Source organism: Homo sapiens, chromosome 3 (assembly GCF_000001405.40).
Source record: "Homo sapiens chromosome 3, GRCh38.p14 Primary Assembly".
Taxonomy (NCBI): Eukaryota; Metazoa; Chordata; class Mammalia; order Primates; family Hominidae; genus Homo; species Homo sapiens.
Window position 1 is genome coordinate 181,442,691 of NC_000003.12, and position 17,872 is coordinate 181,460,562.

The window sequence follows — 17,872 nt, forward strand, 5'->3', positions numbered from 1 at the left end:
ATGAAGGGTGGGGGGGCAGGGAAAGCAATATTTTTTATTACTTGCATTTGTTTAATTTCTCAGGATACTATTATTAATAGACTGTACTTTTAGGAGAAGCAAATTCACTTTATACAGTGTTTAAGGAATATTGTATATGTAGGATCAAATGAGGGGAAAGGATAGTTTTGCCAAAGGCAACTGTTATCAAGGTTCTGAAATTAATTGGATGCTTTAATTGAGGTAGATTACTAGCTAATGCTTGCTTGAATACAGTAATTCTCCTATTAAATTATCTTTGAATAATTACCTGAAATTTCTCAGCTGCAGGGACTGATGGCTATTTAATTGCACAGTGATGTTGCTATATAATTACTTAACAAGGTGTCCTGTAATAGTTTAATTCCCCTTTTACTGAAAAAAAGTGTATGATAAAGTAACTACAAATACTCCTTTCATAAAAAATAAATTGCCGTAGTTTTTTCTTCAAAGATTATTTGTTATTTTAAAGTAAATTAAATTATTTCTAAATTTTTTATTTATAATTCAAGTATTGATGCTCTTTTAATAGAATAGAGGCTCTCTAACATATAATACATTAGGTAACATTTCAAAGGATTGGAATTGTCATTTAAAATGTTTACTTATCAATAACATTTTATGTCTTATTGTTAAATAAGACACCACCCCTTTCTCTTCATTTTTATTATTTTAATTTCAAGGTTCTCAAATTAAGTATATAGACATTAAATAATGAAATACTTTTAAAATGTGGCCATATGTTACATGACAATGATATTACAGACAATTAAATACATTTCTTAGGATTTTTAAATAAACAATCTACAAAGTAGGTACTTTCCACCAAGACATCAATTTATTAGCATTTAGGATATTGCCACAGATGTTATTGGCATGTCAATGACGAATATCAATAAATATCATCTGACTCTTAATCAGGTTAATCTAATTGACCCCTATAGTAAGCATAATCTGATACAAAAGTCAAAAGCAAAGGACACACATTTTGACAATTTTTCTTTCTTATGTAACTTGGTGATATAAAACTAGTAAAATAATCAGGAGGTCATGGCTGATTGGGATGACTAAAAGAGAAAATTATTGTCAGTGCACTGCCAGTTTTAGCATATTAAATATAGTTCTAGAATTTGTCCTAGAATAGTTTTATATTGTATACATTACTTTAATGCAGAATAAAATGCTTGTTAAGCTGGATAATACCAAAAATTGATTGGAAAAAATTAAAATTGAAAATTATTTTGATAAATTAAGAGAATGGATTACATTTACAAGATGAGGCTTGACAGATTCAAAGCAATTTTATTCACATAGGGAGGATAGATGAGAATGTTCTATTTCCAGCACAGCAAAAACAGTACTGAGTCATTGTGAAAAACTAGCCAACTGTGAGAGCTCATATAAGGTCTTTTTTTCCTAAATAAATCTAATACTGAAATGCATAGATGGGAATGTAAAATATGGAAATCTCACCATCCTAAGCATTGGTTGGGACTGAACCGGTGAAGACAAAGCCAGTTTCCGATTTTGTTTTTAAATCACAGCTCACAGATGTAATATATGCATCACATGGGTTAAAAAAAAACAACTTTTCAGTATCTGCAGGTTATTTGTCCTGGCTCCAGTATAAACAGTTTCATCCTACTGAGAATACAATTTTTGGATTAGGTGAAAATATAGAACAGAATACACTTTTTGATTATTGTGCAAGGAATGTAAGAAATGGAGAAGCTCCATACTTTGATGAAATTATCCTCATCTATTATAGCTACAGATGGACAAGTTGCCTGAGAAGTATACCAGACAGGGAAATGTACCGTGTGATGTTAGAAGATTTTCCAGTGTGCCAGAAGTCCATAATCCAACAGCCTTTTCCTATGGAAGTGGGTGGAATGAATTTTGCAGCTGAGTGAAAACTGGGTATCAGCCAGGAAATCTTTGAAATCTTTAAGATGGAGTTCTGAAATTCTGAGGAAGCAGAGGCAAGATGTTTGATTATTCCAGCCTTTTGGCCACTTAAACAACATTTCAAAGCCAAGGCCAACAGAAACCAGTTCCTACAGAGTGTCAGTAAGAGAGAACGTGGTGATGTGGCTGAGGATGGGATCATGGTGTGATGGATATGGTGGAGATTGAAGTAGGGAGATGCAGAAATGAAGGGATGTTCTTGATGATCCCTAAAATGTTGTGTACCCCAAGATCCGACCCTTTGGATGATCATGAATATTATGGTCACTCTTCAGGTTTTCATTTTATTTTTTTGCCAATATCTTTTTGCCTTTACCTGAATGGTCACTCTTTTGTGATCCATGTCACTTTTGTATACTTCTGGTTTTGAGGACAGACTGCCAAAAGGCAATATGAGTCTGCCACTAACCAATGAGTAAAAGGGAAGTGGATAAAGTACTATTTCTGGGATGCATTCTCTCCACATTGCAGACACCTGGCCAAGCCTATGCTGTGTTTGTGTGTATGACACACCCTCTCAAGCAGCTGTCCCACTAAGATGCAAGGGCAGTATTAGTCAAGACACAACATAACCATCCTGAGACAGTGGGCCCATTTGCACTGTGTACACTTGAATAATTCATTTTTCTCTTAAGTAGTAGTACTACAGCAATAATAAAAACATAGCAACAGCCAGGCATAGTGGCTCATGCCTATAATCCCAGCACTTTGGGAGGCTGAGCTGGGAGGATCACTTGAGCCCAGGAGTATGAGACCAGCCTGGACAACATAGTGAGATCCTGTCTATGCAAAAAAATTTTAAAAATTAGTCAGGCCTGGTGGCACATACCTGTAGCCCCAACTACTCAGGAGGCAGAGGTGGGAGGCTCACTTGAGCCCAGGAGGTTGAGGCTACAGTGAGCTATGATTGTGCCACTCCACTCCAGCCTGAGTCACAGAACAAAATCCCATCTCAAAAACAAACAAACAAACAAACAAAACCCTAGCTACAGCAATTTCCTGTAGACACTACAATTTCTTATTTTTCCAAACAACAATTGTGGATAAATTTTTCTTTTTTCATTCAGGAAGTATATCATGTGCTTTACCAGGAAATATAGTATCATTATCTTTTTTGGAGGTCTTTATTTTATTTATTTAAAGTTGGAGCTCTATTCCAATAACATGATTTAATCAATGGGTGTGGTAGTCTAACACCACTATTGTGTTTGACTTCAGAATCAACTATGTTCATTTTTAAAAATAGATGTAGTCCTTGAATAAAATGAATAGTCTGATTAATTAAAAATGTACTTCTTTTTTTTGTATGGTTTTTCCTCAGATGGAAACATGTATCTCAGAAGTAATTATACAGGAAATCTTCCCTCTACTCACATATCCGCTCACTCCTAAAATAAAATAAAATAAGATTTCTTCATGTGGTTCCAGAAGGAAAGTGGTATCATCTCTGTTCCTTGTCTCAATAATGCATCTTCTGCCAAAAGACAAATGTCAAATTAAATGAGCAAGACGAAATAGAAATGTCTTTATTAGGAGCAAGCTGCTTTGTCCTGCAGGGTATAGATGTGTGTTTACAGTAGTGTCACTCACTGTTCAGTGACTGAGATCAATTCTTCATTGGGATTCACATTTTGACCATAAATGAGAGACCACAATTAGGTCGAACTTTGATCAATTTTCCTGCCAACAGATCTGGAATCACATTTTAAGCCTGATCTGAGCTCATGTTCTTCCTTTATTTCAGCACAAAAGCTTGGGACCACAGCATCATTGAATCATCCTTGAAATCATTTGTGTTTCACTAGTGATGTGAGATATGGCAATTCTTTCATTTCACAAACTAGATGGGCTTTTTTTTTTTTTTTTCACTTTCATCTAAGTAGAATTACCTAACCTTTCATGGCCTTGTTCTCTCGTCTGCAGACCTAGAGTTTTAGACTGTGAATTCCCAACTTCATTGTGTTTAATAATCACCTGGGAGCTTTAAAACTGCATTTTCCTAGGTTTCACCACCTGTGATTTTGGATCAGTTGAGTGGGGGTGGGGCTCAGGCATCTGCATTTTTAACAAGCTCCCCAGGTGATTCTGATACAGGCAGATTATACTTTGGTGAACATGGCTATAGATGATCTCTGAGGTCTTTTCCAGATTTTTACCTCCGCAGTCATTTGATGAAATCCTAGAGTGGGAAGTTCTCCTAAAGAGTAAATGGAATTATGTATAAATTGATTGAGCAACAGAGATGAGATAGTATGTCAGGTATGAGATAGTATGTTGATTGAGCAACAGAGATGAGGTAGTATGTTAGTATATTAAACAACTAACGTTTGTTGGGCATTTTTAGAGTTTCAGCAAGCCTTATTTTTTTATTTTTTATTTTATTTTATGATTACTTTTTTTTTTTTTTTTTGAGACAGTGTCTTACTCTGTCACCAGGCTGGAGTGCAGTGGCACAATCTTGGCTCACTGGCACCTCCGTCTCCCGGGTTCAAGCGATTCTCCTGCTTCAGCCTCCCAAGTAGCTGGGACTACAGGCGCACACCACCATGCCCGGCTAATTTTTGTATTTTTAGTAGAGGTGGGGTTTCACCATGGAGCAAGCCTTATTTTAAGCCCTTCATAAATATTAACTTACTGAACCTCAAACAATATTTGAAGGCAAGTAGCATCCTTACATCCATCTGATGAGTGTGAAAACTGAGGCACAAAGAAATGAAGTCATTCGTTCAAAAGTAGATGGGACTTGTGGAAGAGGTAGAAACTCAATAGCCTGAAAAGGGTGCTCTAGGTGGAGAGAGTAGAAGGAACAGAGGCTCAGTTCTGTTAAAACTCAATAATAATTCAAGATATCAAGTGGTTGGCTTATTTCAGTTAGCATATCTTCCAGGTTCGTCCTTCTTGTTGCAGATGATAGATTTTACCCCATTTAAGGCTGAATAGTATTCTTTTGTGTGTGTGTACCCTATTTTTTAAATCTACTCATCTGATGATGGACACTTAGGTTGGTTCCATAACTTAACTATTGTGAATAGTGCTCGTTAAACATGGGAGTGCAGATAGCTCTTCAAAATACTGATTTCAATTCATTAAAGCCAAGCACAGAAGATCAATACCACAGGATCTCACCTATATGTGGAATCTAAAAACGTTGAGCTCATAGAAGTAAAGAGTAGGATGATAGTTATCAGAGGCTAAGGGAGGGGAGTGGATGGGAAAAAGGGAAATATTGATCAAAGGATCCAAAATTTCAGTTAGACAGGAGAAATAAGCTTTAGTGATCTATTGCACAGAATGGTGACTGTAATAAATAATAATGCTTTGTATATTTCAAAATTGCTAAGAAGAGTAGATTTTAAATGTTTCCATCACAAAAAATGATAGGTATGTGAGGTTATGGATTTGTTAATTAGCCAAATTTAATCATTCCACATTGAAAACATATATCAAACATCACGTTCCCAAATGATCATTGAATAAATATTACATTTATTATATATGTAGTACAATAAATATTATAATTATAATAAGTAAATATTACACTTATATAAGTATAATATAAATATTAAAATTACATTATAATAATTGTATATACAATTATTGTTTGGCAATTAGAAATAACATCCTTTAAAAAGAATAGCAAGTGCTCCCATGCCTGGGGCCCTAGTCCCACTTTGGGAAAAGTGTGAGGAAAGAGGCAGGAGGAAAGGAGAAAGGATGGTGAGAAAGTTTAGACAAAGCTGAAAAGGTAGCTCATGGTCTAGTTTATTAAAGTACTTGGATGTTAGAGAATTGGGGGATTTTTTTACTTTTTACTTTTTTCTTTTCATTATACAGTCAAACTCAAACTATAGCCCCAAATAAGGCCAGCTGTATTTATAATGCATGTATCTTTTATTAACCAATAATTCCACTCCTGAAATGTTAAGTTCACAAGCAGAAACAGGCATTAGAAGATATGTACAAGGCAATTTCTCACAGTTATTTGTGATGCTAAGGAAAGTTTTGCAATAAATTTTTGTGTATGCACATAATGGAACATCATTTAGCCATTAAAATATTTTAGAAAAATACTTAATGATGCGAAAATGCTCATGATACAATGTCAACACTTTAAAAACAGGTTATCAAGCAATATACACACTAGAATTCTAATTTTGTGAAATATGCATATATAGGTATATGGTTATGTATGTGTATTGAAAAGGCTGAAGCATTAGCAGGGTTTTAACAGAAAGTTGGATGCTTATGCATGATTTTTATTTTTGCGTTAGTCCGTTTGGACTGCTATAACAAAATATTATAGACTAGGTGGCTTTTAAATATTTAGCATCATTTCTCACAGTTCTGGAGACTGGAAGGCCCAAAATCAAAGCACCAGCAAATTTGGTATCTCATGAGGGCCCAGCCCTCATAGATGGCACATTGTATCTGTGTCCTCATATGTTGGAAGGGGCCACTTAGCTCTCTGGGACTTCTTTCTAAGGGCAGAGCCCTTATGACCTAATCAACTTCCAAAAGGCCCCACCTGTTACTACTGTCGCCTTGGGTTTCAACTTATGAATTTGGGAGAGACACCAATATTCAGACCCTTGAAATTTTCTTTATATTTTTCCATGTTTTACAAATTATTCTCTTTGAATTAGTGTTATATTTTATTTTATGAAATAAGTGCAATAAAGTATATTGTTTAGAAATGTTTCAGTGTGAGGCCAGGCGCAGGGGCTCACGCCTGTAATCCCAGCACTTTGAGAAGCCGAGGCGGGCGGATCACGAGGTCAGGAGATCAAGACCATCTTGGCTAACGCGGTGAAACCCCGTCTCTACAGAAAATACAAAAAATAAGCTGGGCGTGTTGTTGGGCACCTGTAGTCCCAGCTACTCGGGAGGCTGAGGCAGGAGAATGGCATGAACTCAGAAGGTAGAGCTTGCAGTTAGCCGAGATCGTGCCACTGCACTCCAGCCTGGGTGACAGAGCGAGACTCCACCTCAAAAAAAAAAAAAAAAAAAAGTTTCAGTGTGAGTTAAAGCAAATAAGATTTTCTAATAACCAAGGCAATTAATTAGTAAACCCCATTTTTGTGCACCCAGTTAGATGCAATGATTTCAGTTTTCCTGTGTAATTGCTTCAACATCATTCCAAAGTGCCTTTATTTTGGGCAGCACTCACCTGTATGGAAATTTAGGAAGATAGTGTTGTGTTCATAGTTGATGGGAAGATTGATAGTGTTTCCTCACCCTGATGAGAATTCAATGATGTGGTGCCATGCCATGGCACAATAGTGTATATGTCATGGGCTTAGGAATTACCTTTTATCAGGGCAGAGATGGTGAAGCAATTAGATTGTTTCTTCATTCTCTTTTGGTTGGGCAATGTAGAAAGCAACTGTGGCAGTGGTAACAGGCCATTTATACAACTTCATAGGCCACCTGTGGTCAAGCCAAATCAGTATTCACTGAAAAAAGGAATTAATTATTCTTTACAAAATCATCGTCCCTTAAATTTTAAGGAACTTTGCTCAAGAGTTACTAGCACTTGTAGTCTAGGTATATTTTTGAAGCATATGACAATTGTGTGGATGAAAGAGTGATAGTGTGCTTGTAGACAATAGAATCTTTGGAGTTGGAAAGTGTGGTGCCATTCATTCTGGTGACAGGATTCTGGGTGTGTTCTCTGAAGCTGCTCCATAGTGTTAGTCATGTGTAGGTAAATAATAAAAATGGCAAACCCATTCAGTGCTTACTATGTGCCCTAAGTGTTAACTTGTCATATATTCACAGTGACCACCATGATGTAGGTAACATTATTATCCCCATTATACCTGTGAAGAAACTAAAGACATGGCGAGGTTTAGAAACTTGTCCAAGGTCACATAATCAGCATTACTTAGTGTCTTGCATGTGACAGGCACTAGTACCTCAGATCAGCATGCTGAAGCATTGTACTATAAGCACCTTGCAGATTTTAACTTCAAGCCTTACCACAATCCTGAGATGTATCAATATGTCCATTAATCAGATGAGGAAACTGAGGCTCATTTTAAGAGACCATACAATACCTAAGAGAGAAGTGCCAGGTGGGAAGAAGCAATGTGTAAGTGGCACCTGTTCTTTCTACCCTGAGTTACCTTTTCCTCTGCTCCTTGCTCTTCACAGCCCTCCATAATATGATTGTTCTACCCTTTAAAAGTCTGGTCCAAAGATAGATTTAGACACCATCAAGAAACACTTTTCTACGGCTCAGGCAAGAAGAGGAGTTCACGTCTCTAGAGTCAGACAGAAATTGTTGAATCCCAACTCTGCCACTTATTGGTGGTTTGACTTTAGGAAGGTTTCTTAATTTCTCAAGGCCTCATTTTCCCCAACTGTAAAGTGAAGATTACAGTGATATGTCATAGAGTTACAGTGAGGATTAAATAAAATCATTTTAATAAAGCACTTAACAAAGTGCTTGGTATATTTCAAGTACTCATTAAATAGCAACAGTAATAACAATAACAGAAAGGATGTTGTTTTTAAGGGAATTCATCACCAGATCAGTATCAAACTGTGCTCCATGAATCAGTAGTTTCTTGAAATAATAATGGAACTGTCTAAAAAGGAGAAAGAGGGTCATAAAGCAAAATAAAAGTAGAAAACTCTGGTTTAAACAAAATTAAACAAGATTTTTATTGTAGAACTCTTATAAGCCTTTAATAGCCAATATATTGGTAGAGCTATAAGAGGGCAATAGAGAAGGCAAGACTTCCTAATCCATTTGAATAGTTCTATTTTTCTGGGGGGTCCATTAAGTCCTGGGGACTCTTTGGGAATCCCTCTACTGGACAAAATCCTGAGTATCCATTACATTTTTCCGAGAAGTAGGGAATTCTATTATGCTTCCCCATCAGAGATTTTGAAATAGAGATGAAAATAGTATATTCTATCATTTTCAAATTTGTGTAACATCCCATGTGCTTAAAAAATACTCCTAGGGCTTTAGGAAAAGTGGGGTTGATTCCAGTAATAATTAATATTAACTAAAATAGACCCACAAACTATCAAAAACCACAAGTTTAATAACATGAAACATGTATGTAGCAGTACTGAACCACTACCCAACCCTCTCCTCAACCTGGAACGTTCTTCTCTACTCTGACCGTTCCAACCCTGCTTACCTGGTTAACTCCTAGGCATTCTCCAGGCTCACTGCAGATGCCATCTCTGCCAGCAAGTCTGTTCTGTATAAGATGCCCCGTAGCCCATGTATTTGCCCCGTCACAGCACCACACCAAAATGGCAACACGTTGATGGCAGAAACAATGTCCTCTTCACTATTGAGTCCCAGGGACTCACATAGCACATGGCACAGGATCAGTGCCAAATAGACTTTAGTGAGCTGAATCTCAGCACAAAGGGCAAAGCTAGAGTTGGAGATGGGAAGAGAGAATCCTACATGGGGGAAAAAAAAGGGAGAGGCTCTGGGGAGCAGAGGCCTGATGGATAACACATGCAGGATGGGCTTCAGGTTGCAAAGTTGGTAATAGCAGCGAATATCCTCGTAACCCTGGGGAATCAATAAGGAAGGGGCCCTTGAGGGTGCCAAATAGAGGGTCTCAACTTTGCTTTGCACCACCTTTTTTAACCTCAGCTGTTTCTATGTAATCAGTTAGTATGTGCAGGAATTTTTGTCCTACACAAGTGCATTTATTTGCATATCGCTAGAAACAACACTAGTGAAAGTCAACAATGCTTTGCATAATTTATGTTTCTTTAGAAAATATGAGCTGGGTGTGATGGCTTATGCCTGTAATCCTAGCACTTTGGGAGGCCAAGGCAGGAAGATCACTTGAGGCCGAGAGTTCAACACTCAGCAACATAGTGAGACCTTGTCTCAAGAAATAAATGAATAAATAAATAAAAATAAAATAAATATAAAAGAACAATGTGGTTGACTGTGTCTTAAGGGCAGCTCCCAGATGATCCCTTAGTAGAAGTATGACTGGACATTCTTTACAGTAGACTGGGTATAGAGAGGTTACTGGAGCCTGGAAAGATTTCTCAGGGTGCCCTAAGGTAAGCTCACAGCCTGAACCCTGAGGAACGTTTAATAGTGAAGCTCACTGCCTTTCTCCTTATCAGCCTTCTCAAGTCTTTATCTTGGTTAACCTCAACACCATCCACTTAGATTTCTAAGCTGGAGATCTCAGAACCATCCTTGCTTCCCTCCTCTTCCAAACCAAGCATTCAAAGAGTCACCAAGTACAACTGATTCTATTTAAGTTCAATGTGGCATTTTGTTTTGTTACTAAATTCTTAAATACATGCATCCTCATAGAAAAAATTGATAGATGAAAAGATAAAGCAGCAGGAGAAAAGTCACTCTCAATTCCATTGTTAATATTTTCTAGTATTCATGAAATTTTCTATCAAGTTCTGTATATAACTTTGACTATAGATTTTTTAAATTTGTTTTTTTAATCTATTCTTGACTCTCCTGCTCTCCTTCATTTATTGAAACTGATTTTAAGACCTTTCCTCATCTGAAACAAAGTATTTCCTGTCCCTAAAGACAGAAGAGTAATGAAAACAAGCGTGAACCCTGCTTTCATGGGGCCCACAAGGAATGTATGTAAATCTTTCCTTCCCTTCTTTAACACAAGGAGTCTCATACAGCTCATACTCTTTATTCCTCATAACATTATATTTGGAAATCATTTTATATCAATTCCTCATTCCTATTTCCTTGTATCCTAGCATCATAATATAACCAGCCCTACTGATGGATATTGATGGGTATTTAAGGTGCTTCCAATCTTTTGCTATTGCAAACAGTACTACAGTAAACAACCTTATACATAAGCCATTTCATGCATGCAGGACCAGAGCTATAGGATAAACCCCTGAGAGTAGGGCTTGGGGAGAAATTGCCAAATTGCCCTCCACAGAGTTTTACCAAATAACATTCCATCAGCAATGTATAAGAGTGCCAGCTTCCCCACCACCTTGGAACACTTTTATTCTCTTCTTAGAACTACTTGGTGGCCTGGAGAAATCTCGTAGCTGATCAAACTGAAGGAGCAGGAATGTGAAGTGGAAGGATTCTCCCCTCTCCCAGGCCACCGAGAAACTTGTCTTAATGGAGGTCTGGGTTTATTTTTTAAGAGCCTTTATTCCTTATAGAAGAAAGAAGAAGGAGAAAAAAACAGAAAAACCTACAATGCTACTATGTGAGTGCCACAAAGAGGAACAGATTTCTGTCCCATGTTTCCAACGAAACCAACCACTTAAAAAGATACAGGGCGCCATTCAGGGTTGTTGGAGCAGTAGAAGAACACGTAGCTGATCTGCAATCAAATGGCCACTCGGGAGAGCAACCTGTGTGCTTTTACCCACAGAGCAGCCAGTTTCAACTGGAACTTATGCAGGGCCCGTTTGCAGACTTCTTTGTGCGGTGGTTCATTCCCCATCTTAGAGGCTGGGGCAGGTTAGGAGAGAGCGCCCATGTTGTACAACAGTATATCTGAGCTGCCCTTTATGCCTACCTATTTCTTTCCCTGCTTTCACCCCTTTGTGTGTTTTTAATGGGGATAAGTGTGAGCTATACTGGAGCGCAATCACATTGTGGTCTTAAAAGGGTCTCTGATGATAGAAAATATGTCAATTTATTATTTCCCTCAGGACAGAGAAAAAAGTACAAAGGTTCAATGGATGATGAAGATAATACTTGTGCACTGTATAGCATTTTCCAACAAAGGATTTTAAGGTGATTTTCCTTTAAAAAATATTTTATATTTTAGTCCCATTTTGTAGGTGGGGAGACAAGAAGATTTCGTAGTGACTAAAATGTCCTAGTGGTGGGACCCTGCATAGAGTCAGCATCTCTATGATCCTTCCGGGCTCTTTTCACTCCCTCTAGTGGAATTTGGTTCTTCACATCAGAGTTTTGACAGCAATAGCAAGCACTGTGCTATTGTGTGCGATCTTTTGGGTACCAGAGCCAGTTTCATCAAATCTTCAACCTGATGGCTCTATCTGTGATCAGAGCTATCTCATGTACCTACAGTTGCAGTTTCTTTAAATAACAATTAGCGCAGGAGATCCTGGGCTGCTCTTGAATGCAGGGAGTATGCTGGTGAAACTCAGCAAGGAGGTGGTCACTTGTTTTTTTGTCACGCAGGGTCTTTCATAATGAATCAACAAAGCATTGACAATAGTTTTCTTGTAAACTGAACAAACCTTATAAATGGTGTGTGGTCTCCCCTCCCCCATGAATTAGTTCCTTTGTCCTGAAATGTGTGGTTAGCCCAGATATTCATTCCGCTCTGCTGGGAGAGTGGCAGAGTCTAGGGAGGCACCCAGAATGTGCAAGACAAGTCGACATTTTACATTTTGGTCTTCTTTATCAGAGCTGGAAATATTTCATTTGTACCTTGACAAATCAGGAAAAAAAAAAAAAGCATGGGTGGACAGCATAGAAAACTTTCCCAAGTATCTGAGTGATCAATTTTAGGACATGAATGTGATAGCTGCTTCCTCTTTTTTATGTGTACAATGATGAAAGGAAATTAAGACTGTAGAAACAGTTTTTAAAGTGCTTTGTATGGCTGCTTGAAATTCATTATATGATTGCCTGTTTTTTAAAAACCTAAATAAGGAGGGCTAAAGTACTTAGGAGAAAACTAATTGCTTTAAGCTTTTCCTCCTCAGTGTATGCTATTCTCTGCTGTTATATAATCTTGGATATTGAGCAACTGAATGAAAGAAACAGTGTCTTACTTAAAGTAAATGGACAAACATCATTTACTGCTGGCGTTTTTGGCTCTTGGGGTGGGGGTGGGGAAGATATCTCATAGTGAAGTTCACCATAGCTTAGAGTTCATAAAATCAACCTTATTGTCAAAACACTGAAATAAAAATTCACAGAATTGAAAGGAGCAAATCTATGTGGAGGCAGGTTTTTAAAATCTTGAAATGTTCAAGTTTTGCTTCTTGTCTTTACAAAAAGGCAAATTATGATGGCATAATTTTTGACATGTTGTTACCAGAGAGATTGTGTGTTGGAATGTATATTAGATTAAATTGATAGATGGTTGTGTGAAAAGAACTGCAATATTCAAACTTGACTGTATGCATAAAATTATTTACAGAACTATACCACATTAATACCATCTTATTTCATTTCAGATATAATTTTACTTAATGGTAATTTTTATAAAGGATATGAATGTGTTTTTCTTTTTTAAAAAAGAATTGCCAAAATCATTGCCAACACATGAAAACAAGTCAATGATTAAGATCACATAAACCCATGTCATATGTATATTCAATCCAGAATTGTTTTAGGGTCATTGTAGCCATAGAGTTTTCAAATAAATTATTTGAATATAAAAGTAGATTATGTATTTCCCCTGTGGCTGGCCAAATGTCTTTTCAACAAAGGGTAAAATAAGAAGGCTATTTTTTGTGTAAAAGAGTGATCTTTTTAGTCATGCTTGGCTGCCTTTTCAGGACTGTCTCCATTTATAATGAGATATTCTTGAACTCATTTGAACCAGAAAGTTTAGTAAATTTGTGGTACATTTTTACATAAAATATCATAATTTGTTTTAAAGGATCAGGTCTAGAGCAAAGAGAAAGTATATGAATGATTGTTTTGATTTTTAGACTATAATTTTGAGCTGACATCTACATTGGACAATGTCTGGAATATTGAAAAAATATATTTATTTGGTTACTATTTCATACTTCTTGGCAGTTCTAATTTCATCTTATTGTCTACTTAAAAGTGTGCTTGCTATTCAAATCTCAGTTGAAGCTGTCATAAAGACTATCATTACAATAGTTTCTATAGTTTTCAGAGTTCTTGGCATTGAAAGGTGATGATGGCCCTTCCAGAATAATAAGAAAAAGTATTTTATATAAATTTTATGGCTCTGCTTTGAAGTAAATTTGACTTATATGCAAATTTGCTAATATTAACTTTTTTCTTTTCCTATTAACATAGTTAGTAAAAAAAATAATCCTAAGGCTGGAAATGCACGGGCATATGCTTACACACATGTAGTGGTGAAAGAAATCTTTTTGAAAACTGAAAGTAAATTTTGACGTGATCATTAACATATAAAAACATGTTTGTGTTATTCTCTAGTGTTTTAACATTCTCTACACTTAACTATTTTTCTAATATACCTGAAGATCTTTTTTAAAAAATTTTAGTTATATTTTTTGCAGTTACAAGCAGAAAAATCAGTTAATAGATTTTTAATCTGATATCAAAAATCAACTCCATATAGTACTTATTTCCAATCTTATTTCTCTAATTGTACTTTGAAATGGATACATTATTTGTTTTACATTTGTACTTCCCTTGAACCTCCTATTTTCTTTTAACTACTCTACAACAAATGCCATTTTTTTTTCTATTCTTTTCCCTTTATCTGATTTTTACAGCAAATGATGTGTCATGTCTCTCCTGAAATTGACCATTCTTTTCAGAAAAGATTTTTTCTTTTTTGGCCTATGGTGCTACACTGAAAAAGTCACCCAGCTAAAATGAGTTACTTCATTTCCAAATAAAAACAATAGTGTTTTCATGCCTGCACTTATTATTATTCTGAGAATGTACTAATTTGTTACATCCAAGATGACGGTTCGTTGGGTCCGTGAAAAGGGCAGTGTGCCAACTACAGCAGGGAAGTAAAAGGACTTCTTTCATGGGAAGTAGTGGGACAGAAAGTAGCCCGCAGTTCTTGTGGGCATCAGGAGGCACGCTGCCAATGGAGTCATCCCAGTATCAAGATTTCCTGTGTTGGGTTCTGAATCAAGCTAAAACTATGATTTCACTAATGTCGGCCTGGGCGGTCAAATTTTCAAACTCGCTATTACGCTAAGGAACAACTGATAGATGTTTTATCCCCATAGGCACTGGCTGATGCGAAACAAGGATTTTGAATGTGTACAGTGCATTATTACTTTTGGTATTAAGCTTAAATAATTGTCTACTTACCCTGAGCTGGTAATAGCAAAATACAAGCAAAGGAGGACATTTTTACAAAGTAAAACTGCAAAACAGATTTATCTATATTACTATGGATTTTTTTTATTGTTGTTCTTCTCCCCTATTAAATTTGAATGATAATGAAGTTTGATTCTATACTTTTATTCGGCTCTAAACCAGGGTGGTCTCATAATTTTGTTTTACATGCATGACATTGCTTAAGGTCATTAGTTGTAAATCGTAGTACAAAAAGGCTGAAAATATATTCAGCACTTTGTAGTTTCCGAATACACATTTAAGAGCTGCTATGAAAAGTCGAGACCTACATGGCAGATTTTCTGGCACTGAATGGTCAATTTAGTGATGTAGATTAGTGAATCCAAACAGTAAGTGGAGAGAGACTATAATAATGCTTTGATATGTCCCTCTGTTGAAGCATATCCTGGTTGATCCATTTTCTGTTATTGTAATATTTTTCTTTGCTCTATGGCAAAATGCTCTCTACTTTCTTATTTTTTAAGAATATAACCCAGAAAAAGTTATCCATTTTTAAAAATAACTTTCATCTGCTCTTGGTACCACTTAATAAATGAAAAAAAAAAGCAGATTTGGATTATGAATTGAGTTTTATTTTGTTGGAATAAAAAACTTTCCTTTGATAACATTTGCTTTTTGTTCAATATGTATTTGCCGAGTTTTTCTTTTATCATAAAGTTTTAATTCATGGTCCCTTTTATTTTGAAGGGGAGTGTACTTTAAGCAACATTTATACAGCAACCATTTTAATAATGATGATAATGTTATTTTATCGAAATCTTGAAATAGGTTTTAATCAAAGTTTGACTGACCTTGACTTGATATTTTGAGTCCTTTTTCATTTTTGTGACTAGGAAGTAAAAACAAGTTCTGCCTTTTATATTCTTCATGAGTTATGAATTTAATTTTCTTGACATCTTACTTCAAAATCAAGGGCAATATGTATTTTTCTTTTTAATTCCAAATGGAAACTGGCTGAATTCACAATAAAGACAACTGAAAATTGGAATTGTTTAAAAATTAAAAAAAAAAATACACCGTTGTAGCAGATTTTAAATGAAGTAGGTTATCAAGTGGACTGCTAATTTTTGCCTTTCCAAAATGTTGGATATTTAACCCTCAGAATAATTAAATATTTGTAATAAAGCAGTTAATTCAAGCAGTTTATTGCTGTAATTTGCAAAAGTACATTGAGCTGCTTTCTTTTCAGCTCATTGATGGAGGAACAAACATTTCTTTAATAAGACTACAGCACATTCTAATTTTGTTGCAAAAGCTTAGATAAGGATCAGGCCCCCTCTGAATCACTGCATTGACCTATGACATTGAAAGTGCTGAAGCTCTTTGGCAAAAGAAGAGTTAGACATTCATTATTATGCACAGGACTTTCCAGTTCTAAAGGGGCTCTGTGCTTTCTCTCAGATAGACTTTGTTTGTTGGAAATGAGAACTGTATTTTGGCAGCAAAGGACCAGAACTGAAGCTACTCTGCAGGCAGAATCATTATGACATAATCCTTCATTAATCCTCATTCTCTATTAATAGATCATGCAGAAGTTTTCCTTTAGTTGATCATCTTCATCAAGGAGCTATGGAAAAGCATTACCAGTGAAATGCCCACCTCTGGTTTTAAGACTGTTTGTTTATATCCATCTTTATTAGTTGCAAAGATTAATGGTGAAAATAATCTCTTAGACTTTGCTTGGTATACAAACCACATATGAGGACCTAAAAAATCTGATATAACTGAATTTTCATGTTTTGGGGGTAAAACTCACCTGGAAATAAAACATAGCACTTAACAATAAAAAAGAAAAAATTATCAGGCTAAAATTTGTTTCTGGTGAGATAAAGGGGTTCTAGTCACAGAAGCACGGGAATAGTAGCTAAGCAGCCCAACTTCCCATATTGCTTAAGAAAACAAGTTATCATACAAAATATGTATTTTTCTAACTGTTACTTAACAGATTGAATTACTCTTGAGATGCTCAACTTTTCATGGTGGGTGGTGAGGGTGCATCTCCTTTAGAAGGATACATATGTACTTGTTTTTGTCCAAATTATCTGCCCAGATCAGACACTGGAGCTGCGACCTTCCAATGTAAGATTTTCATCATATCCTTTTAAGAATTTGGGGACTCATGTAAAATGTATTTAGAGAAAATAAATAAATATCACTTGCTGTTTTCATATACACCCTTGGGGTCTTGATAAGCCAAAGTTCTCACAGAAGGTCTGGTTCATCAGTTCAGCCTCACCATGAGCCCCATGGCCTGCTGCTGTCCCTGACACTGACACTAGGCACCACGTCTTTGACTCATCTTTGTTGATAGACCCAAAACTTCATTTGAAGGCATAGTTTAGGAATATTAGGAGGAGATTTTTATGATATTTATTTTACATTTAGTCGACAGAATTTAAATATTTTAAAATAAAAACTATCTATAGGGAGATGATTCGATTAAGCAGTATGTACCGTTCCTAGAGGAGTATGCTGAAAAAGCTTTCTCTAGGTTTTGCAGGTGATTGTTCCGGTAGAGGTGTGCTCATAGTGTTTAGTCATTAATGGAGACTGTGCCTCCGTTGGAACTGGCTAATAGGTCCAGATTGATCCCTCATAGTAATGTCACTAATACTTGTAATACTAGAAAATATGCATGCTACCAAAAAATTGTAGGAACATATTTTTATGTTGTCTGGCACATATTTCTGAATTAAAAACTCACAGAAGGTAAGAAGTTGTCCATAGACACACAAATTGTAATTGTTTAATTTGGCTTTTAATCTAAGCCTTCCCATCTTTTAATGATTTTATGTATAATCTGCAGTAAAGAGAACTAGGATTTATTGAACAACTGTTATAAATAGACCACCT

The 17,872-nt window shown here is 36.0% G+C and overlaps 1 long non-coding RNA gene across 3 annotated transcripts in view, besides 1 other annotated feature; it reads left to right on the plus strand.

The window, feature by feature from the left end:
- SOX2-OT (SOX2 overlapping transcript) overlaps positions 1-17,872 on the plus strand; it is a 685,549-nt gene that overhangs the window by 386,011 nt on the left and 281,666 nt on the right. The window lies entirely within an intron of this gene.
- Positions 11,809-12,310: an enhancer, noted in NCBI's record as "NANOG hESC enhancer chr3:181172287-181172788 (GRCh37/hg19 assembly coordinates)". NCBI's record gives its function as "activates a minimal SCP1, AML or CMV promoter by ChIP-STARR-seq in primed H9 embryonic stem cells {active_cell/tissue: H9 hESC(primed)}" and the evidence as "EXISTENCE:reporter gene assay evidence [ECO:0000049][PMID:30033119]".